This window comes from Homo sapiens, chromosome 1 (assembly GCF_000001405.40).
Source record: "Homo sapiens chromosome 1, GRCh38.p14 Primary Assembly".
Lineage (NCBI taxonomy): Eukaryota > Metazoa > Chordata > Mammalia > Primates > Hominidae > Homo > Homo sapiens.
In genome coordinates, this window is record NC_000001.11 from 145,647,077 (window position 1) to 145,668,585 (window position 21,509).

At 39.7% G+C, this 21,509-nt stretch overlaps 1 protein-coding gene across 7 annotated transcripts in view; it reads left to right on the plus strand.

The window, feature by feature from the left end:
- Window positions 1–21,509, plus strand: part of GPR89A (G protein-coupled receptor 89A) — a 62,663-nt gene that overhangs the window by 39,089 nt on the left and 2,065 nt on the right. For all 7 annotated transcript variants that reach the window (NR_036541.2, NM_001097613.3, XM_011509908.3 and 4 more), the window contains 3 exons: window positions 99–191; window positions 16,253–16,348; window positions 18,486–18,575. Coding sequence is in view for 6 of the 7 variants with exons in the window: in NM_001097613.3 (NP_001091082.2) it covers window positions 99–191; window positions 16,253–16,348; window positions 18,486–18,575 (279 nt within the window). In the remaining variant the exon portion in view is untranslated. The remainder of the gene's footprint in view (window positions 1–98; window positions 192–16,252; window positions 16,349–18,485; window positions 18,576–21,509) is intronic.

Genomic DNA, 21,509 nt, shown 5'->3' on the forward strand with positions numbered 1-21,509 from the left:
ACTTAGCCTGAACAGTGATTCATAGAGGGAAGAATACTTGTGTTGAATATAAATTTATATTTTGCTGAAAACTATGTTTTGTGTTTGTTTTCCCCCAGGAGAGAATAGAATACTCCAAAACCTTCAAGGGGAAATATTTTAATTTTCTTGGTTACTTTTTCTCTATTTACTGTGTTTGGAAAATTTTCATGGTAAGTATGTTATTTTTAATTATCAGAGTTTAGATGTTTTTTCCTGGTAGTGGCAGGGAGATAAGAGTGGATTTGACTGATATATTGAACTAAATTCCAAATGTGATTGCATCAACAGAGAGCATGATCTTCCACATCTCTGGGCTTCATTCGTTATCCTCTCTCCTTTTTAGATTACATAGATAAGAAAGGTTGCATTTTTCTTCTGTCAGAAATTGTTAATAAGGCCTTAGTTTATGAAATATCTAAATTGAGGCCGGGCATGGTGGCTCATGCCTATAATCCCAGCACTTTCGGAGGCCAAGGCAGGCATATCACCTGAGGTCAGGAGTTCGAGAACAGCCTGGCCAACATGGTGAAACCCCATCTCTACTAAAAATACAAAAATTAGCTGGGTGTGGTGGTGGGCCGCCTGTAATCCCAGCTACTCAGGAGGCTGAGGCAGGAGAATCGCTTGAACCCGAGAGGCGGACGTTGCAGTGAGCTAAGATCACGCCACTGCACTCCAGCCTGGGGAGAGGGCGAGACTCCATCTCTCTCTCTCTCTTCGTCGTCGTCGACTCTCTCTCTCTCTCTCCTCCTCCTCTCTCTCTCTCTCTCTCTCTCTCTCTCTATATATATATATATATATATATATATATATAGAATGTGAACATTTCTTATTTTGCATTCTGCTTTCTGTGTTACCCATGAGTACATAACTGTATATATAACTTCAACTTCTACCTTCAGCTCAGAAGTTACTTGTCCTTTTTAATTATGTGTATACCTAAAAAATTAAGTTCACAATAAATTCTAAAATGTATTTCCATAGATAAATTCATTTGCTGTACATATAGCTCTAATTCTTTTGTGGTTTTCTCATAATATTTTTTATGTACAGTATTTGTCTTTACCTCTGACTCAGGTATTAATGGATTTCAATGTGATTACAGAAAAGGCTGATTTGACTTCCTAGTTTGATGACTTTCCTACTGGGTTTGTGTTTGTGCAAAGAGGAGCTTTGTCAGCTTGTTAGTTAATTTTGATCAATGTAGATGAATGAGGATTTTCATTATATAAAGGATCTAGTGTTACAATAAATTGATGTCAATAATACTCAGATGACATTTTAAAATCTGGATTCATTCAGTGGGAGATAATGAATGAAGATAGTATGTTCAGTTAGCAAAGCTACTAAAAGGTATTTTCCTAAGATGCAGCCTTTAGGGAAGCATGTCTTTTTTTTTTTAGATGGAGTCTCATTCTGTCACCCAAGCTGTAGTACAGTGGTGCGATCTCGGCTCACTGCAACCTCTGCCTCCTGGGCCCAAGCAATTCTCCTGCCTCAGCCTCCCGAGTGGCTGGGATTGCAAGCACGCACCACCACGCCCAGCTAACTTTTTTGTATTTCAGTAGACATGGGCTTTCACCATGTTGCCCAAGGTGGTTTTGAACTCCTGAGCTCAGGCAATCTGCCCGTCTCAGCCTCCCAAAGTGCTGGGACTACAGGCGTGAGCCATCATCACACCCGGCCTAGGGAAGCATGTTCTTTTTTTTTTTTTTTTTTGTTGAAGACGGAGTCTCTCTCTGTCTCCCAGGCTGGAGTGCAGTGGCATGATCTCGGCTCACTGCAACCCCTCCGCCTTCCAGATTCAAGTGATTCCCCTGCCTTAGGCTCCCAAGTAGCTGGGACTACAGGTGTGTGCCACAATGCCCGGCTAATTTTTTGTATTTTTAGTAGAGACAGGGTTTCACCATCTTGGCCAGGATGGTCTCGATCTCCTGACCTCGTGATCCGCCTGCCTCAGCCTCCCAAAGTGCTGGGATTACAGGCGTGAGCCACTGCACCCAGCCAGCATGTCATTTTTTAACAGGTTTATTGGGGTATAACTGATATGTAAACCGAACATATATTTATGTACAACTGGGTACGTTTTGACATACATATATACCTATGCAACAACCATCACCACGGTCAAGACAGAGAACACATCCATCCATCACTGCCATGAGATTCCTGAGATTCCTGGTGTCCCTTTGTAATGCCTCTCTCCCACACCTCTAGTCCCCAGACGACTGCCAATCTGCCTTCTCTCATTATATATTAGTTTGTATTTTCTAGAATGTTATGTAAGTAGAATCCTACAGTATGTATCCTTTTTCTGTCTGGCTTATTTTACTCGGCATGATTATTTTACATTTTATCCATGTTATGATTTGTATCAGTAGTTTATTCTTTTGTATTGCTGAGTAGTGTTTCCGTGGTTTGGACGTGCCACAATTTTGTTTGTCCATTCATCTGATGATGAATATTTGGTTGTTTCCAGTTGGGGGATATTACAGATAAAGTTGCTGTGAACACTTGTGTACAATTTTGTGTATAGACGTGTGCTGTCTTTCTCTTGAGTAGGCACTTAGGAGTGGAATGTCTGGATCATATGGCAGATGTAATGTTTAACTTTTGAAGAAACAGCCAACTCTTTTCCAAAAAAATTGTATCATTTACATTTCCACCTGCACTGTGTATGAGTTTCAGTTGTTCACATCCTCACCAACACTCTATATGGCCAGTCTTGCTAATATTAGACATTCTAATAGATACGAGGTGATATTGCATTGTGGTTTTAATTTATATTTTCTTAATGTCTAATGATATTGAGCATCTTTTCATGTGCTTTTTTTCCCACCCATATTTTTTTTGGATGAATTATCTGTTCAAATCTTTTGCCAATTTTTTTTTAATTTTAAGTTCTGAGGTACATGTGCAGGATGTGCAAGTTTGTTACATATGTAAGTATGTGCCATGGTGATTTGCTGCATCTATCAACCCATCACCTAGGTATTAAGCCCAGCATCCATTAGCTATTTTCCCTGATGCTCTCCCTCCCCCTCCCCGCCTTCGACAGGTCCCAGTTTGTGTTGTTCCCTCCCTGTGTCTGTGTGTTCACATTGTTCAGTTCCCACTTATAAGTGAGAACATGTGATATTTGGTTTTCTGTTCCTGTGTTAGTTTGATGAGGATGATGGCTTCCAGCTCCATCCATGTCCCTGCAAAGGACATGATCTCATTCCTTTTTATGGCAGTATAGTATTCCATGGTGTATATGTACCACATTTTCTTTATCCGGTCTATCATTGATGGGCATTTGGGTTGATTCTATGTCTTTGCTATTGTGAATAGTGCTGCAGTGGACGTACATGTGTATGTATCTTTATAATGGAATGATTTATATTCCTTTGGGTATATACCCAGTAATGGGATTGCTGGGTCAAATGGTATTTCTGGTGCTAGGTCTTTGAGGAATCACCACACTGTCTTCCACAATGATTGAGTTAATGTACATTCCCACCAACAGTGTAAAAGCGTTCCTATTTCTCTGTAGCCTCGCCAGCATCTGTTGTTTCTTGACTTTTTAATAATTGCCATTCTGACTGGTGTGAGATGGTAGCTCATTGTGGTTTTGATTTGCATTTCTCTAATGATCAGTGATACTGAGCTTGAGCTTTTTTTCATACGTTTGTTGGCCACATAAATGTCTTCTTTTGAGAATTGTCTGTTCATGTCCTTTGCTTACTTTTTAATGGGGTTGTTTGATTTTTTTCTTGTAAATTTCTTTAAGTTCCTTGTAGATTCTGGATATTAGGCCTTTGTCAGATGGATAGATTGCAAAAATTTTCTCCCATTCTGTTGGTTGTCTGTTCACCCTGATGATAGTTTCTTTAGCTGTGCAGAAGCTCTTTAGTTTAATTAGATCCCATTTGTCAATTTTTGCTTTTGTGGCAATTGCTTTTGACATTTTTGTCATGAAACCTTTGCCTGTACCATGTCCTGAATGGTATTGCCTAGATTTTCTTCTAGGTTTTTTATAGTTTGGGGTTTTACATTTAAGTCTTTAATCCATCTTGAGTTAATTTTTGTATAAGGTGTAAAGAAGGGTTCCAGTTTCAGTTTTCTGCATATGGCTAGCCAGTTTTCCCAGCACCATTTATTAAATAGGGAATCCTTTCCCCATTGCTTGTTTTTGTCAGCTTTGTCAAAGATCAGATGGCTGTAGATGTGCGGTCTTATTTCTGAGTTCTCTATTCTGTTCCATTGGTCTATGTGTCTGTTTTTGTACCAGTACCATGCTGTTTTGGTCACTGTAACCTTGTAGTATAGTTTGAAGTCAGGTAGCGTGATGCCTCCAGCTTTGTTCTTTTTGCTTACAGTTGTCTTGACTTGTACGGGCTCTTTTTTGCTTCCATATTGAATTTTAAAATAGTTTTTTTCTAATTCTGGGAAGAATGTCAATGGTAGTTTAATGGGAGTAGCACTGAATTTATAAATTACTTTGGGCAGTATGGCCATTTTCATGATATTGATTCTTCCTATCTGGGAGCATGGAGTGTTTTTCCATTTGTATGTGTCCTCTCTGATTTCCTTGAGCAGTGGTTTGTAGTTCTCCTTGAAGAGGTCCTTCACTCCCCTTGTTAGCTGTATTCCTAGGTATTGTATTCTCTTTGTAGCAGTTGTAAATGGGAGTTCATTCATGATTTGGCTCTCTGCTTGTCTGTTGTTGGTGTACAGGAATGCTTGTGATTTTTGCACATTGACTTTTTATCCTGAGACTTTGCTGAAGTTGCTTATCAGTTTAGGTAGCTTTTGGGCTGAGACGATGGGGTTTTCTAGATAGAAGATTATGTCATATGCAAACAAAGACAATTTGACTTTCTCTCTTCCTATTTGAATACCCTTTATTTCTTTCTCTTGCCTGATTGCCCTGGCCAGAACTTCCAATACTATGTTGAATAGGAGTGGTGAGAGAGGGAGTCCTATCTTGTGCCAGTTTTCAAAGGAAATGCTTCCAGCTTTTGTCCATTCAGTGTGATATTGGCTGTGGGTTTGTTATAAATCACCCTTATTATTTTGAGGTATGTTCCATCAATACCTAGTTTATTGAGAGTTTTTAGCATGAAGGGATGTTGAATTTTATCAAAGGCCTTTTCTGTGTCTATTGAGATAATCATGTGGTTTTTGTCATTGGTTCTGTTTATGTGATGGATTACGTTTACTGATTCGTGTATGTTGAACCAGTGTTGCATACTGGGCATGAAGCTGACTTGATCGTGGTAGATGAGCTTTTTGATGTGCTGCTGGATTTGGTTTGCCAGTATTTTATTGAGGATTTTCACATCAATGTTCTTCAGGGATATTGGCCTGAAGTTTTCTTTTTTTGTTGTTGTATCTCTGCCAGATTTTGGTATCAGAATGAGCTGGCCTCATAAAATGAGTTAGGGAGGAGTCCCTCTTTTTCTGTTGTTTGGAATAGTTGCAGAAGAAATGGTATCAGCTCCTCTTTTTACCTCTGAATTCAGCTGTAAATCCATCTGGTCCTGGGCTTTCCTTGGATGGTAGGCTTATTACTGCCCCAAATCAGAACTCCTTATGGGTCTATTCAGGGATTCAACTTCTTCCTGGTTCAGTCTTGGGAGGGTGTATGTGTCCAAGAATTTATCCATTTCTTCTAGATTTTCTAGTTGATTTGCATAGAGATGTTTATAGTATTCTCTGATGGTTATTTGTATTTCTGTGGGATCAGTGGTGATGTCCCCTTTATCATTTTTTTTGTGTCTGTTTGATTCTTCTTCTTTATTAGTCTAGTAGTGGTCTATTTTATTAATCTTTTCAAAAAACTGGCTCCTGGATTCGTTGATTTTTTTGAAGGGTTTTTCGTGCTCTATCTCCTGCAGTTCTGCTGTGACCTTGGTTATTTCTTATATTCTGCTAGCTTTGGGGTTTGTTTGCTCTTGGTTCTCTAGTTCTTTTAGTTGTGATGTTAGGGTGTCGATTTGAGATCTTTCTAGCTTTTTGATATGAGCATTTAGTGCTATCCATTTCCCTCTTAACACTGCTTTAGCTGTGTCCCAGAGATTCTGGTATGTTGTCTCTTTGTTCTCATAGTATCAAATAACTTCTTGATTTCTGCCTTAATTTCATTATTTACTGAGGAGTCATTCAGGAGCAGGTTGTTCAATTTTCATGTAGTTGTGTAGTTTTGAGTTAGTTTCTTAGTCTTGAGTTCTAATTTGATTGTCCTGTGGTCTGAGAGACTGTTATAATTTCAGTTCTTTTGCATTTGCTGAGGAGTGTTCTACTTCCAGTTATGTGATCAATTTTAGAGTATGTGCCATGTGGCACCAAGAAGAATGTATATTCTGTTGTTTTTGGGTAGAGAGTTCTGTAGATGTCTATCAGGTCCACTTGATCCAGAGCTGAGTTCAAGTCCTAAATATACTTGTTAATTTTCTGTCTCAATGATCTGTGTAACATTGACTGTGGGGTGTTAATGTCTCCCACTATTATTATGTGAGAGTATAAGTCTCTTTGTAGGTCTCTAAGAACTTGTTTTATAGATCTGGGTGCTCCTGTATTGGGTGTATATATATTTAGGATAGTTAGCTCTTGTTGAATTGAACCCTTTAGCATTATGTAAAGCCCTTGTTTGTCTTTTTTGATCTTTGTTAAAGTCTGTTTTGTCAGAAACTAGGATTGCAACCCCTGCTTTTTTTTGCTTTCCATTTGCTTGGTAAATTTTCCTCCATCCCTTTATTTTGAGCCTATGTGTGTCTTTGCACATGAGAGGGGCCTCCTGAATACAGCACACTGATGGGTCTTGATTCTTTATCCAGCTTGCCATTCTGTGTCTTTTAATTGGGGCATTTAGCCCATTTACATTTAAGGTTAAAATTGTTATGTGTGATTTGATCCTGTCATCATGATGCTAGCTGGTTATTTTGCAGACTTGTTATTGTAGTTGCTTCATAGTGTCATTGCTTTGTGTACTTCAGTGTGTTTTTGTAGTGGCTGGTAATAGTTTTTCCTTTCCATACTTAGTGCTTCCTTCAGGAGTTCTTGCAAGGTGGTCACAAGTTCCCTCAGCATTTGCTTGTCTGAAAAGGATTTTATTTCTCCTTCACTTATGAAGCTTAGTTTGGCCAGATAGGAAATTCTGGGTTGGAAATTCTTTTCTTTAAGAATGTTGAGCTGGGCGTGGTGGCTCATGCCGGTAATCCCAGCACTTTGGGAGGCCGAGGCGGGCAGATCACGAGGTCAGAAGATCGAGACCATCCTGGCTAACACGGTGAAACCCCATCTCTACTAAAAATACAAAAAATTAGCCAGGCATGGTGGCAGGCGCCTGTAGTCCTAGCTACTCGGGAGGCTGAGGCAGGAGAATGGCATGAACCCAGGAGGTGGAGGTTGCAGTGAGCCGAGACTATGCCACTGCACTCCAGCCTGGGTGACAGAGCAAGAATCCATCTACAAAAAAAAAAAAAAAAAACAGAATGTTGAATATTGACTCCCAATTGCTTCTGGCTTATAGGGTTTCCACTGAGAGGTGCACTGTTAGTCTGATGGACTTCTCTTTGTAGGTGACCTGTCCTTTCTGGCTGCCCTTAACATTTTTTCCTTCATTTCGACCTTGGAGAATCTGATGATTATGTGTCTTGGGGTTGATCTTCTCATGGAGTATTTTACTGGAGTTCTCTGGATTTCCTGAATTTGAATGTTGGCCTGTCTTGCTAGGTTGGAGAAGTTCTGGCCTGTATTGCTAGGTTGGGGAAGTTCTCCTGGATGATATCCTGAAGTATGTTTTCCAACTTGAAACGGTTCCGTTCTCCCCGTCTCTTCCAGGTACCTGAATCAGCCGTAGGTTCGGTATTTTTATGTAATCCCATAGTTCTCAGAGGTTTTGTTCATTCCTTTTCATTCTTTTTTCTCTCACCTTGTCTGCCTGTCTTATTTCAGCAAGATAGTCTTCAAGCTCTGAGATTCTTTCCTCTGCTTAGTCTCTTCAGCTATTGATATTTGTGGTTGCATTGTGAATTTCACATTGTGTTTTTCAGCTCCATCACATTGTTTATGTTCCTTTTTAAACGGGTTATTCTGGTTAACAGCTCCTATAATGTTTTATCATGGTTCTTGGCTTCTTTGCATTGGGTTAGAACATTACTTCTTTTGCTCAGCAATGTTTGTTACTGCCCAGCTTCTAAAGCCTACTTCTGTCAGTGCATCCATCTCAGCCTCAGCCTCAGCCCAGTTCTGTGCCCTTGCTGGAGAGGTGTTGTGATCATTTGGAGAAGAGGCACTCTGGCTTTTTGAGTTGTCACCGTTTTTGTGTTGATTCTTTCTCATCATCCTCAGTTTATCTACCTTCGATTTTTGAGGCTGCTGACCTTTGGATGGGGTTTTTGTGGGGTCTTTTTTTGTTGATGTTGTTGTTGCTTTCTGTTTGTTTGTTTTTAACAGTCAGGCCCCTCTTCTGTAGGGCTGCTGCCATTTGTTGGCGGTCGAATCCATACCCTACTCGCCTGGGTCCCTCTCGCACCTGGAGGTATTACCAGTGGAGGCTGCAGAACAGCAAAGATGGCTGCTTGCTCCGTCCTCTGGGAGGAAGCACTGACCTGATGCCGGCAGGAACGTTCCTGTATAAGATGTCTGGCAACCCCTGGTGGGGGGTCTCAGTCAGGAGGCACGGGATCAGGGACCTGCTTAAGGAAGCACTCTGACTGCCCCTTGGCAGAGCAGCTGTGCTGCACTGAAGGGAATCCCCCTCCTCTGGACTGCCCAGACCCTTCAGAGCCAGCAGGCAGGAAAGACTAAGTCTGCTGAACCACGAAGACGATAGTCACCCCTGCCCCCAGGGGCTCCTTCCCAGGGAGATCAGTTCTGCTCATAAACCCCTACCTGGAGTTGCTGACATTTCTGCAGGGAGGCCTCGCCTAGTGAGGAGGAATGGATCCGAGTCCCACCTAAAGAAGCGGTCTGGCCACAGTCTGCCACTACCACTGTGCTGTGCTGTGGGGAATTCCTCCTGGTCCAAACCACCTATTCTCCCCGGCACTGGCAGGGGAAAAGGGCAGACTGGACCTGCAGTGATGGTGGCTGTCCCGGGAACTTGGTCGTCTTAGGCAATCTCCAGCCTGCTGCTGCTGGCTGCAACCTCAGTGGCCACTGAGCATCTGGGCAGCTCTGTGCTTGGGATCCAAGGCCCTGTTGGCCTGGGCTCACAAGGGGAATCTCCTGATCCACGGGTTGCACAGATCTGTGGAAGAAGCATGGTTTCCTGGGCAGGGTGCCACAATCACTCATCGCCTTCCTTGATTGGGGGTGGGAACTCCCCTTGCCCTGTGCGGCTCCCAGGTGGGGCTGTTGCACTACCCTGCTTTTCCTCGCTCTCCGTGGGTTGTGCCAACTGCCTAGTCAGTCCCAATGAGAGAACCTGGTTACCTCAGCCTGAAAGTGCAACATTCACTCGCTGTTTTCATTCTTGATAGGAGCAGCCAACAGCAGCTACTTCTAGTTGGTCACCTTGGCCCCTCCCCCGACCTTGCCAGTGTTTTAATTAAGTTGTTCCTTTCCCCATCCTTCCTTCCTTCTTGTTATCCTTTTTCTCCTGCTCCTTCTCCAGCCTTATTGCACTGACTAAAACCTTCAGTACAAAGTTGAATAGAAGTGGTAGGATTAGTCATCCTACTGTTATTCCTGCTCTTAGGGAGATAGCATCCAGTCTCACCTTTATGATGTTAGGTTTTCCCTAGATGCCCTTTATCAGGTTGAGGAAGTTCCATTGTAATCATAGTTTATTGAGTATTGTTAATCATGAAAAGGTGTTGGATTTTGTTAAATTCTTTTACTGCATCTATTGAGATGATCAATGTTTTTCTTTTTTAGTCTGCTATAGTTGATTACATTCATTAATTTTTGAATATTAAACCAATCTTGCATTCCTAGAATAAACCTCACTTGGTCATGGTGAATTATCATTTTTCTATTTTGTTAGATTCAATTTGCTAAAATTATGTTAAGAATGTTTGCATTGTCTGAGCATGTTGGCTCACACCTGTATTCCCAGTACTTTGGGAGGCTGAAGCAGGAGGACTGCTTGAGGCCAGGAATTTGAGACCAGCCTGGGCAGCATAGCAAGACCCCATCTCAGCAAAACAATAAAAATTAACTGAGTGTGGTGGCATGCCTGTGTTCCCAGCTACTCAGGAGGCTATGGTGGGAGGATCGCTTGAGCCCAGAAGTCCAAGGCCTCAGTGAGCTATTATCACACCGCTGCACTCCAGCTTGAATGACAGAGGGAGACTCTGTCTCAAAAAAAAAAAAAATTGATTCCATATGTATGAGGATATTGGACTATAGTTTTCTTTTCTCATAATGTCTTTATTTGGTTTTGGTGTCAGAGTAATGCTTGCTGACCTTAGAGAATGAGTTGAGAAGTACTGCCACCTCTTTAAATTAGTGGAAAAGTATGTGTGGAGATGTTGTTATTTCTCCCCTAAATGTGTTGTAGAGTTTATCAATAAAGCCGTCTGGGCCTGGAGTTTTCTTTGCAGGAAGATTTTTTTAAACTACCAATTCATTTTTTTAAAGATACAGGGTTTATGCAGGTTATCTATTTCTTCTTGAGTGAGCTCTTGCAATTTGGGTCTCAAGGAATTTGTCTATTTTTATTGAAGTTGTCAAATTTATTGGCATGATATTGCTCATAATATTCTTACTATCCTTTTAATATCTATAGAACCTGTAGAGACTGTTATTTTTTTCATGTAACAGGTTTATTGAGATATAATTCACATACAATACAATATACTCATTTAGTGTATGATGCAGTAGTTCTTAATATATTCATAGTTTTATAACCATTACCACAATCAATTTTTGAACATTTTTATCAAGCCAAAAAGAAATTCCATACTCATTAGTAGTCATTCCCCATTTCCCTCCAATTCCCACTCCCTCAGCCCTTAGCAACCACTAATCTATTTTCTGTCTCTGTAGATTTCCCTATTCTGGATGTTTCATATAAATGGAATCACATAATTTATATTGTTTTATGATTGGCTTCTCTCATTTAGCATAATGGGGTTGGGGGGGAGCTTTTTAAATGTAATTTTAAAAAGTATATATTTTTTTTCATAGAGACGAGTCTCACTATATTGCCCAGGCTGAGCCACTGTACCCAGCCCTAGCATAATGTTTTTAAGGTACATCCATGTCATAGTATCTATCAATATTTCATTCCTGGCCAGGCACAGTGGCAGATGCCTGTAATCCCAACACTTTGGGAGGCTGAGGCAGGAGGATCACTTGAGCCCAGGAGTTTGAGACTATCCTGAGAAACAAAGGGAAACCCCATTCTTTACCCCTCCCTCCCCGACACACACACACACACACAAAATTAATAGGGCATGGAAGTACATGCTTGTGGCCCCAGCTACTCGGGAGGCTGAGGCGGGGGAGGATCGCTTGAGCCTGGGAAGTTGAAGCTGCAGTGAGCCGTGATTGTGCCACCACACTCCAGCAGGCAGCAGAGCAAGACTGTCTTAAAAAAAAAATTCATATTTTCTATGGCTGAATAATATCTATTTCATTTTATAGGTACACCACATTTTTTATCCATTTATTAGTTGATGTACATTAGGATTGTTTCTACTTTTGGGCCATTATCAATAATGCTGATGTGAACATTTGTGTATAATTTTTTTGTTTTTGTTTTGAGACACAGTCTCACTCTGTTGCCCAGGCTGGAGCACAGTGGGGTGATCTCAGCTCACTTCGATCTCTGCCTCCTGGGTTCAAGCGATTCTCCTGCCTCAGCCGCCTGAGTAGCTGGGATTACAGGTGCGTACCACCACGCCTGGCTGATTTTTCTATTTTTAGTAGAGACGAGGTTTGACCATGTTGGCCAGGCTGGTCTCAACTCCTGACCTCAGGTGATCCACTAGCCTCGGCCTCCCAAAGTGCTGGGATTATATCCGTGAGCCACCATGCCCAGCCTCGTGTATAAGTTTTTATGTGAGTATATGTTTTAATTTCTCTTATGTGTATATCTAGGGGTAGAATTGCCGTGTCATATGCTAAGTATATGTTTAACCTTTTTATTTATTTATTTATTTATTTATTGAGGTGGAGTCTAGCTCTGTCGCCCAGGCTGGAGTGCAGTGGTGCAGTCTCAGCTCACTGCAACCTCCACCTCCCAGGTTCAAGCAATTCTCCTGCCTCAGCGTCCCAAGTAGCTGAGGTTACAGGCGCATGCAACCACTCCCGGCTAACTTTTTTGTATTTTTAGTAGAGACAGGGTTTCACCATATTGGCCAGGCTGGTCTCTAACTCCTAACCTTGTGATCCACCCGCCTCAGCCTCCCAAAGTGCTAGGATTACAGGCATGAGCCACTGCGACCGGCCTATGTTTAACCTTTTAAAGAACTACCAGACTTTTCCAAAACAGCAGCAACAGTTTACATTCCTGTCAGCAGGGGATGCGTGCTCCAATTTCTCCACATCCCCACCAACAATTGTTATTAACTTTTTTATACTGTTCCATTGATCTATATCTCTGTTTTGGTACCAGTACCATGCTGTTTTGGTTACTGTAGCCTTGTAGTATAGTTTGAAGTCAGGTAGCGTGATGCCTCCAGCTTTGCTCTTTTGGCTTAGGATTGACTTGGCAATGTGGGCTTTTTTTGGTTCCTTATGAACTTTAAAGTAGTTTTTTCCAATTCTGTGAAGAAAGTCATTGGTAGCTTTATAGGGATGGCATTGAATCTATAAATTACCTTGGGCAGTATGGCCATTTTCATGATATTGATTCTTCCTACCATGAGCATGGAATGTTCTTCCATTTGTTTGTATCCTCTTTTATTTCATTGAGCAGTGTTTTGTAGTTCTCCTTGAAGAGGTCCTTCACATCCCTTGTAAGTTGGATTCCTAGGTATTTTATTCTCTTTGAAGCAATTGTGAATGGGAGTTCACTCATGATTTGTCTCTCTGTTTGTCTGTTATTGGTGTATAAGAATGCTTGTGATTTTTGTACATTGGCACCGAACAGAGCCCTCAGAAATCACGCCGCATATCTACAACTATCTGATCTTTGACAAACCTGAGAAAAACAAGCAATGGGGAAAGGATTCCTTATTTAATAAATGGTGCTGGGAAAACTGGCTAGCCATATGTAGAAAGCTGAAACTGGATCCCTTCCTTACACCTTATACAAAAATTAATTCAAGATGGATTAAAGACTTAAACGTTAGACCTAAAACCATAAAAACCCTAGAAGAAAACCTAGGCGTTACCATTCAGAACATAGGCATGGGCAAGGACTTCATGTCTAAAAGCATACCAAAAGCAATGGCAACAAAAGCCAAAATTGACAAATGGGATCTAATTAAACTAAAGAGCTTCTGCACAGCAAAAGAAACTACCATCAGAGTGAACAGGCAACCTACAGAATGGGAGAAAATTTTTGCAACCTACTCATCTGACAAAGGGCTAATATCCAGAATCTACAATGAACTCAAACAAGTTTACAAGAAAAAAACAAACAACCCCATCAAAAAGTTGGCGAAGGACATGAACAGACACTTCTCAAAAGAAGACTTTTATGCCGCCAAAAAACACAAGAAAAAATGCTCACCATCACTGGCCATCAGAGAAATGCAAATCAAAACCACAATGACATACCATCTCACACCAGTTAGAATGGCAATCATTAAAAAGTCAGGAAACAACAGGTGCTGGAGAGGATGTGGAGAAACAGGAACACTTTTACACTGTTGGTGGGACTGTAAACTAGTTCAACCCTTGTGGAAGTCAGTGTGGCGATTCTTCAGGGATCTAGAACTAGAAATACCATTTGACCCAGCCATCCCATTACTGGGTATATACCCAAAGGACTATAAATCATGCTGCTATAAAGACACATGCACACGTATGTTTATTGTGGCACTATTGACAATAGCAAAGACTTGGAACCAACCCAAATGTCCAACAATGATAGACTGGATTAAGAAAATGTGGCACATATACACCATGGAATACTATGCAGCCATAAAAAATGATGAGTTCATGTCCTTTGTAGGGACATGGATGAAATTGGAAATCATCATTCTCAGTAAACTATCGCAAGGACAAAAAACCAAACACCACATGTTCTCACTCATAGGTGGGAATTGAACAATGAGAACACATGGACACAGGAAGGGGAACATCACACTCTGGGGACTGTTGTGGGGTGGGGGGAGGGGGGAGGGATAGTTTTAGGAGATATACCTAATGCTAAATGATGAGTTAATGGGTGCAGCACACCAGCATGGCACATGTATACATATGTAACTAACCTGCACAGTGTGCACATGTACCCTAAAACTTAAAGTATAATAATAATAAAATAAAATAAAAACTTTTTTATTATAGCCATCCTCATGGGTGTGACAGTGATGTCTCTCTTGTTCTTAATATTGGTAACTTGTGACTTCCCTCTTTTGTCTTTATCAGTCTAGTAGAAGTTTATTGGTTTTGTTGAACTTTTCAAAGAACCAACTTTTGGGTTAATTAGTTTTCTCTCATTTTTTGCTATTTCATTGATTTCTGCTCTGGTCTTTGTTATTTCCTTTCTTCTGCTTATTTTGAGTCTCTTTTTCTAATTTCTTAAGATGGAAACTAAGATCATTGATTGGAGATCTTTGCTGATATAGGGGTTTTAATGCTATACATTTCTTGCTATGTACTGCTATACTAGATCTCACAAATTTAATGAATTGTATTTCTCATTCAATTCAAAATGCTTTCGAGTTTCCCTTTGATTTCTTCTTTGATTCATGGGTGATTTAGAAGTGTGTTATAAAATATTTGAGGATCTTCCAAATATTATTCTCTAATTAATTTCTAATTTAATTTCATGTGGTCTAAGAACATATTTTGTATGATATGAATCTTTTAAATTATTGACTTGTTTTCTGTCCCAGACAGAATATGGTGATAAATGTCTTACCTGTATGTGAGTAGAATATGTATTGTGCTCTTGTTGGCAGGAGTGTTCCATAAATGTCAATTACGTCAAATTGATTGATAGTATTATTAGAGTTTCTGACTAATTTTATCAGTTATTGAGAGAGGGGATCCAGCTATTGTGGATTTGTCCATTTCTTTTTTATTTCTATCAGTTTTGCTTTACGTATTTTGAAGCTCTGTCATTAGGTGTATAAACATTTAGAATCATTGTGTACCCCTTGTTGAAATGATCCTTTTATCATTCTGAAATGACCCTTTTAATACCTAGCAGTATTTTTGCTATGAAATCTACTTTGTCCGACATTAATATAGACATTCTAGCTTTCTTTTGATTAGTGTTAGCATAATATATTTTTCTGTCCTTTTACTTTTAACCTATTTGTATCTTTATATTTATTAAAGTGGTTTTTTCATAAGGAATATATAGTTGGGTCTTGCATTTTTATCCAATCTAACAACCTCTGCCATTTCATTGACATGTTTAGACCAAGGATCAGCAATCTATAGCCCACAGGCCAAACCTAACCACTGCCTGCCTTTGGAAATAAAGTTTTATTGGAACGCAGCCAAGTCCATTCATTTGTGTATTGTCTGTGGCTGCTGTCACACTCCAGTGGCAGAGTTTGCTCACCTATTATGCAGACCATTTACATTTCATGTGATTATTGATGTGGTTGTTTCTTTTTTTTTAACGTGGTTGGATTTTAAACTACTGTGTTGCTATTTCTTTTCATTGGTCCCATCTGTTCTTTTCTCCCTTTTTCCTTTTTTAAACTTCCATCTTGGGGATTAATTGGGAATTTTTCATTATTCCATTTGATATCGTTTGTTGACTTATTAGCTATAACTCCTTTTTCTGTTATTTTAGTATTTGCTGTTAAAGCATTCAGAAAATAACCACAAGGAATTACCCTGGGATTTCTTGATTCTCTTAATCTGACTTCATCTACCAGAATGTTACCTTTCTGGCTCCTGATAAATTAAGGCATAATGCCGTAGCTTTATTCCCATTGACTCTTTACAGAAAAGAAAGATGGAGGAAATAGGGACTTTTGTTTGCCTATATATGAGTATCCAAAATAGATTTCCTATATATGATTTGGATTAAGAGTAGAATTGCATTTTTAGGAACATTGACCTGTAAGATATGTTACAGTGATTAATTCATTAGTTTCAGTCACTTTTTGAAATAGTAAGTGATTGTTAAGATGCTCCAAGGTAAAAATCTGCATCTTTGCAGGCTACCATCAATATTGTTTTTGATCGAGTTGGGAAAACGGATCCTGTCACAAGAGGCATTGAGATCACTGTGAATTATCTGGGAATCCAATTTGATGTAAGTGTTATATCAAGATCCTGGTTTGTCATGTTTCTGTTTTATCTACTATAACTTACCATTGTTAAGATTCTAATTTGTATACTTTAGGTACTTGCTTCTGCTTTTGTTCTTCCCACTCTGTATATTTTGACGTATTCACATGGAAAATTTTTATATTTTGATGTATTCACATGGAAAATTTGTAAAAGGCCAAGATTCTCTCTCTTAACATAAAGCCAGAAGTAATGATTGATACTTAATATTGTCATGGATGCTGATTATTTCTACAGCTGCTCCTCTGCTTCTCTATAGGCAGCTACCAGTTTACCATTTTCTCCCCACCAAAGTATTCAAATACTTCTCTCTGTGATTCTTATTAAGCTCTTCAAACACACAACTCAGCTTTGATGCTCCAGTGGAAAATTAGCTACTAATTAGTGTTCTGTGTTAGAGCTGAAATGATTTCTGCTGTAAGAAATGATCTTTATCTATTAATGTGGACCTTGGGCTAAAGATGGTAACTGTCACCTATGCACAAAATTTTTTTTTAAATTGTCTTTTTACTGTTTCATAATACCACTGTCATAAATACACCCTTGTCCTAATTGAAGTTCAGTGTCTTTATTCATAAACCAGAGCCAATGACTCTGGCTGAATAGCACTTTAATAGTAAGACCAATGTCATATTCTTAGTCCCAGTGTAGGCCATTTAGCTGTGCTGTCAACCTAGACGCAGACTGCGTGCTACCCCCAGCCATCCATCCCAGCCAGACGTGCCCCTAATCTCAAAAGGACTTGGATGAAATGAAAATGAACGAGAGCAAATTGAGCCCCAATCCTTGAGAAACAGCTCAATGTACATGTTTCTTGATGCTAGATCAATAGTGTATCCTCTTTGAGTGTGAAGGAACATGATATCTTTTCTTCAAGTGGTATATAAATTATATTAAATATGCTTTACAGGCCACGCACTACTGTGGCCCACATCTGTAGTCCCAGCACTTTGAGAGGTCGAGACAGATCACTTGAGTCCAGGAGTTCAAGACCAGCCTGGGCAACATGGTGAAAACCTGTCTCTAGAAAAAATATAAAAATTAGCTGGACATGGTGGCATGCACCTGTAGTCCCAGCTATGCAGGAGGCTAAAGCAGGAGGATCACTTGAGCCGGGGAGAAAGAAGTTGCAGTGAGCTGAGATAGTGCCACTGCACTCCACTCTGGGCGACAGAGTGAGACCCCTGTCTCAAAAAACAACAAAAAGTATGCTTTGCTGTTGTTGCATTTGTGTTTCCTTAAGTGTTTTACTGGGCTGAATTTTTAGCAATGCTTTTGCTTTTCTGTACTTTCTGAGGATACTTACATGGCCATGTATATATTTCATCTGTAATTCATCTGTTTATGCTATATTTTGTAATTCTGAATAACAAATCGTTTAGATGTTAGTAATAGCAGCTCCCTTTCAGATACTTTTCAGAACTGAATCAAACACAGGGTCCCAAAACTCCTTCTCACTATGAAGCAATACAGGAGGAGAAAAAGGTATCATGTGGTTCCAGTGAAGTTCAACTATTTCCTAGAATTTAGCTGAGAATGTCTATATATTCTTTTACTATAAAAAGAAAGATTCCTTGAAGTTTTGGTGATTAGGGAACTATTATTCATAGATAGAAAATAATCAAGGTATTATTTAGTTTCCTTTTAATTCCTGCTTTTCGTTTATCACAGTAAAACTGTATCATTAGTTCTGTTTTTTTCTGATTTATTAGCGTTATTTTTATCACTTCTTGGTACTTGCTGCCGGGCATGGTGACTCATGCCTGTAATACCAACACTTTGGGAGGCTGATGTGGGAGTATTGCTTGAGCCCAGGAGTTTGAGACGAGCCTGAACTACATAGCAAGACCCTGGCTCTACAAAAAAAATATTTTTTTAATTTTAAGGTTTAATTAAGTCTGCTAATTAAGGTATTTACTGCAGTCTTTCTGTAGTTGTTTTATTTGCCACCTACTTGCTTTCCTCTCTCCCTTAAGAAAAAAAATCAGGTAGGGTCTAATAAAGCTCCCTCTCACAGTCATGTAAATGATCGGGATATAGCTTAGCCCTTACGTCTCTCTGAACAGAGATTTAGCAGATATTTTTTCTTGTTATGGTGGCAGGTGAAGTTTTGGTCCCAACACATTTCCTTCATTCTTGTTGGAATAATCATCGTCACATCCATCAGAGGATTGCTGATCACTCTTACCAAGGTATGTTTTATCACAGTGTTAAAAAGTACTGCTTATCATTTGTTTAATTAAATGTGGTACCAGCCGGGTGTGGTGGCTCACGCCTGTAATCCCAACACTTTGGAAGGCTGAGGTGGGTGGATCACGAGGTCAGGAGATCGAGTCCATCCTAGCCAACATGGTGAAACCCCATCTCTACTAAAAATACAACAAATTAGCTGGGTGTGGTGGCACATGCCTGTAGTCCCAACTACTTGGGAGGCTGAGTTAGGAGAATCACTTGAACCCAGGCAGCAGAGATTGCAGTGAACCAAGGTCACACACTGCACTCCAGCCTGGTGAAAGAGCAACACTCCATCTCAAAAAAAAAAAAATAGGTGGTACCATGAGATAATTTTACCTCATTAAGAATTCTGCCTCCTGAGACTTTAAACAACAGTGTCAAGGATTTAAAAGACATACAACAGAATTTTTTAAAAGTTAAACTACTACATAAATTGATGATGATATATTTACATCATATACCAATTATAGATAAGTACATTCACTAAAGGTGATAGAGTAAGATATGGGTCTGTTTTGTTCACTGATATGTTATCAGTATCTAGAACAGAACCTAGCACATGGTAGGCAGATATTCAGCAGATATTTGAGACTGGAAGAATAGTTGTGAGAGTCACTTACAGAGAAGATATGGAAGTAAGGGAGCAGAATATAGCAAGTCCTTAATGTCATCAATAAGTTCTTGGAAACAGCAGCTTTAAGCAAAACTATATACCAAGTCCTCAAAAAAATGTTTCGTTCAACATTTCATTATAATGCTGTGAGAAAAATGTAGTTTTGTTATACATCATTTCACTTAAAATCTCAGTTTCCAAGATCCTATAAATGGCATTAAGTAAGGACCTACTGAATTCAACTATTTTTTTTTTTTAAATTATACTTTAAGTTCTAGGGTACATGTGCACAACATGCAGGTTTGTTACATTTGGATACATGTGCCATGTTGGTGTGCTGCACCTATTAACTTGTCATTTACATTAGGTATATCTCCTAATGCTGTCCCTCCCCCCTCCCCCCACCCCACGACAAGCCTCGGTGTGTGATGTTCCCCTTCCTGTGTCCAAGTGTTCTCATTGTTCAGTTCCCACCTATGAGTGAGAATATGCAGTGTTTGGCTTTTTGTCCTTGCGATAGTTTGCTGAGAATGATGGTTTCCAGCTTCATCCATGTCCCTACAAAGGACATGAACTCATCCTTTTTTGTGGCTGGATAGTATTCCATGGTGTATATGTGCCACATTTTCTTAATCCAGTCTATCATTGATGGACATTTGGGTTGGTTCCAAGTCTTTGCTATTGTGAATAGAGTATGTGAATAGTGAATAGTATGAATATTGCACATGCAATAAACATACGTGTGCATGTGTCTTTATAGCAGCATGATTTATAATCCTTTGGGTATATACCCAGTAATGGGATGACTGGGTCAAATGTTATTTCTAGTTGTAGATCCTTGAGGAATTGCCACACTGCCTTCCACAATGGTTGAACTAGTTTACAGTCCCACCAACAGTGTAAAAGTGTTCCTGTTTCTCCACATCCTCTCCAGCACCTGTTGTTTCCTGACTTTTTAATGATCACCATCCTAACTGGTGTGAGATGGTATCTCATTGTGGTTTTGATTTGCATTTCTCTGATGGCCAGTGATGATCAGCATTTTTTCATGTGTCTGTTGGCTGCACATGAGAAGTGTCTGTTCATATCCTTTGCCCACTTTTTGATGGGGTTGTTTTTTTTCTTGTAAATTTGTTTGAGTTCTTTGTAAATTCTGGATATTAGCCCTTTGTCAGATAAGTAGATTGCAAAAATTTTCTCCCATTCTGTAGGTTGCCTGTTCACTCTGATGGTAGTTTCTTTTGCTGTGCAGAAGCTCTTTAGTTTAATTAAATCCCATTTGTCAATTTTGGCTTTTGTTGCCATTGCTTTCGGTGTTTTAGACATGAAGTCCTTGCCCATGCCTATGTCCTGAATGTTATTGCCTAGGTTTTCTTCTAGGGTTTTTATGGTTTTAGGTCTAACATTTAAGTCTTTAATCCATCTTGAATTAATTTTTGTATAAGGTGTAAGGAAGGGATCCAGTTTCAGCTTTCTACATATGGCTAGCCAGTTTTCCCAGCACCATTTGTTAAATAGGGAATCCCTTCCCCATTTCTTGTTTTTGTCAGGTTTGTCAAAGAGCAGATGGTTGTAGATGTGTGGTATTATTTCTGAGGGCTCTGTTCTGTTCCATTGGTCTATATCTCTGTTTTGGTACCAGTACCATGCTGTTTTGGTTACTGTAGCCTTGTAGTATAGCTTGAAGTCAGGTAGTGTGATGCCTCCAGCTTTGTTCTTTTGGCTTAGGATTGACTTGGCAATGCGGGCTCTTTTTGGTTCCATATGAACTTTAGAGTAGTTTTTTCCAATTCTGTGAAGAAAGTCATTGGTAGCTTGATGTGGATGGCATTGAATCTATAAATTACCTTGGGCAGTATGGCCATTTTCATGATATTGATTCTTCCTATCCATGAGCATGGAATGTTCTTCCATGTGTTTGTTTCCTCTTTTATTTTGTTGAGCAGTGGTTTGTAGTTCTCCTTGAAGAGGTCCTTCACATCCCTTGTAAATTGGATTCCTAGGTATTTTATTCTCTTTGAAGAAATTGTGAATGGGCGTTCACTCATGATTTGGCTCTCTGTTTGTCTGTTATTGGTCTATAAGAATGCTTGTGATTTTTGCACATTGATTTTGTATCCTGAGACTTTGCTGAAGTTGCTTATCAGCTTAAGGAGATTTTGGGCTGAGACGATGGGGTTTTCTATATATACAGTCATGTCTTCTGCAAACAGGGACAATTTGACTTCCTCTTTTTCTGATTGAATACCCTTTATTTCTTTCTCCTGCCTGATTGCCC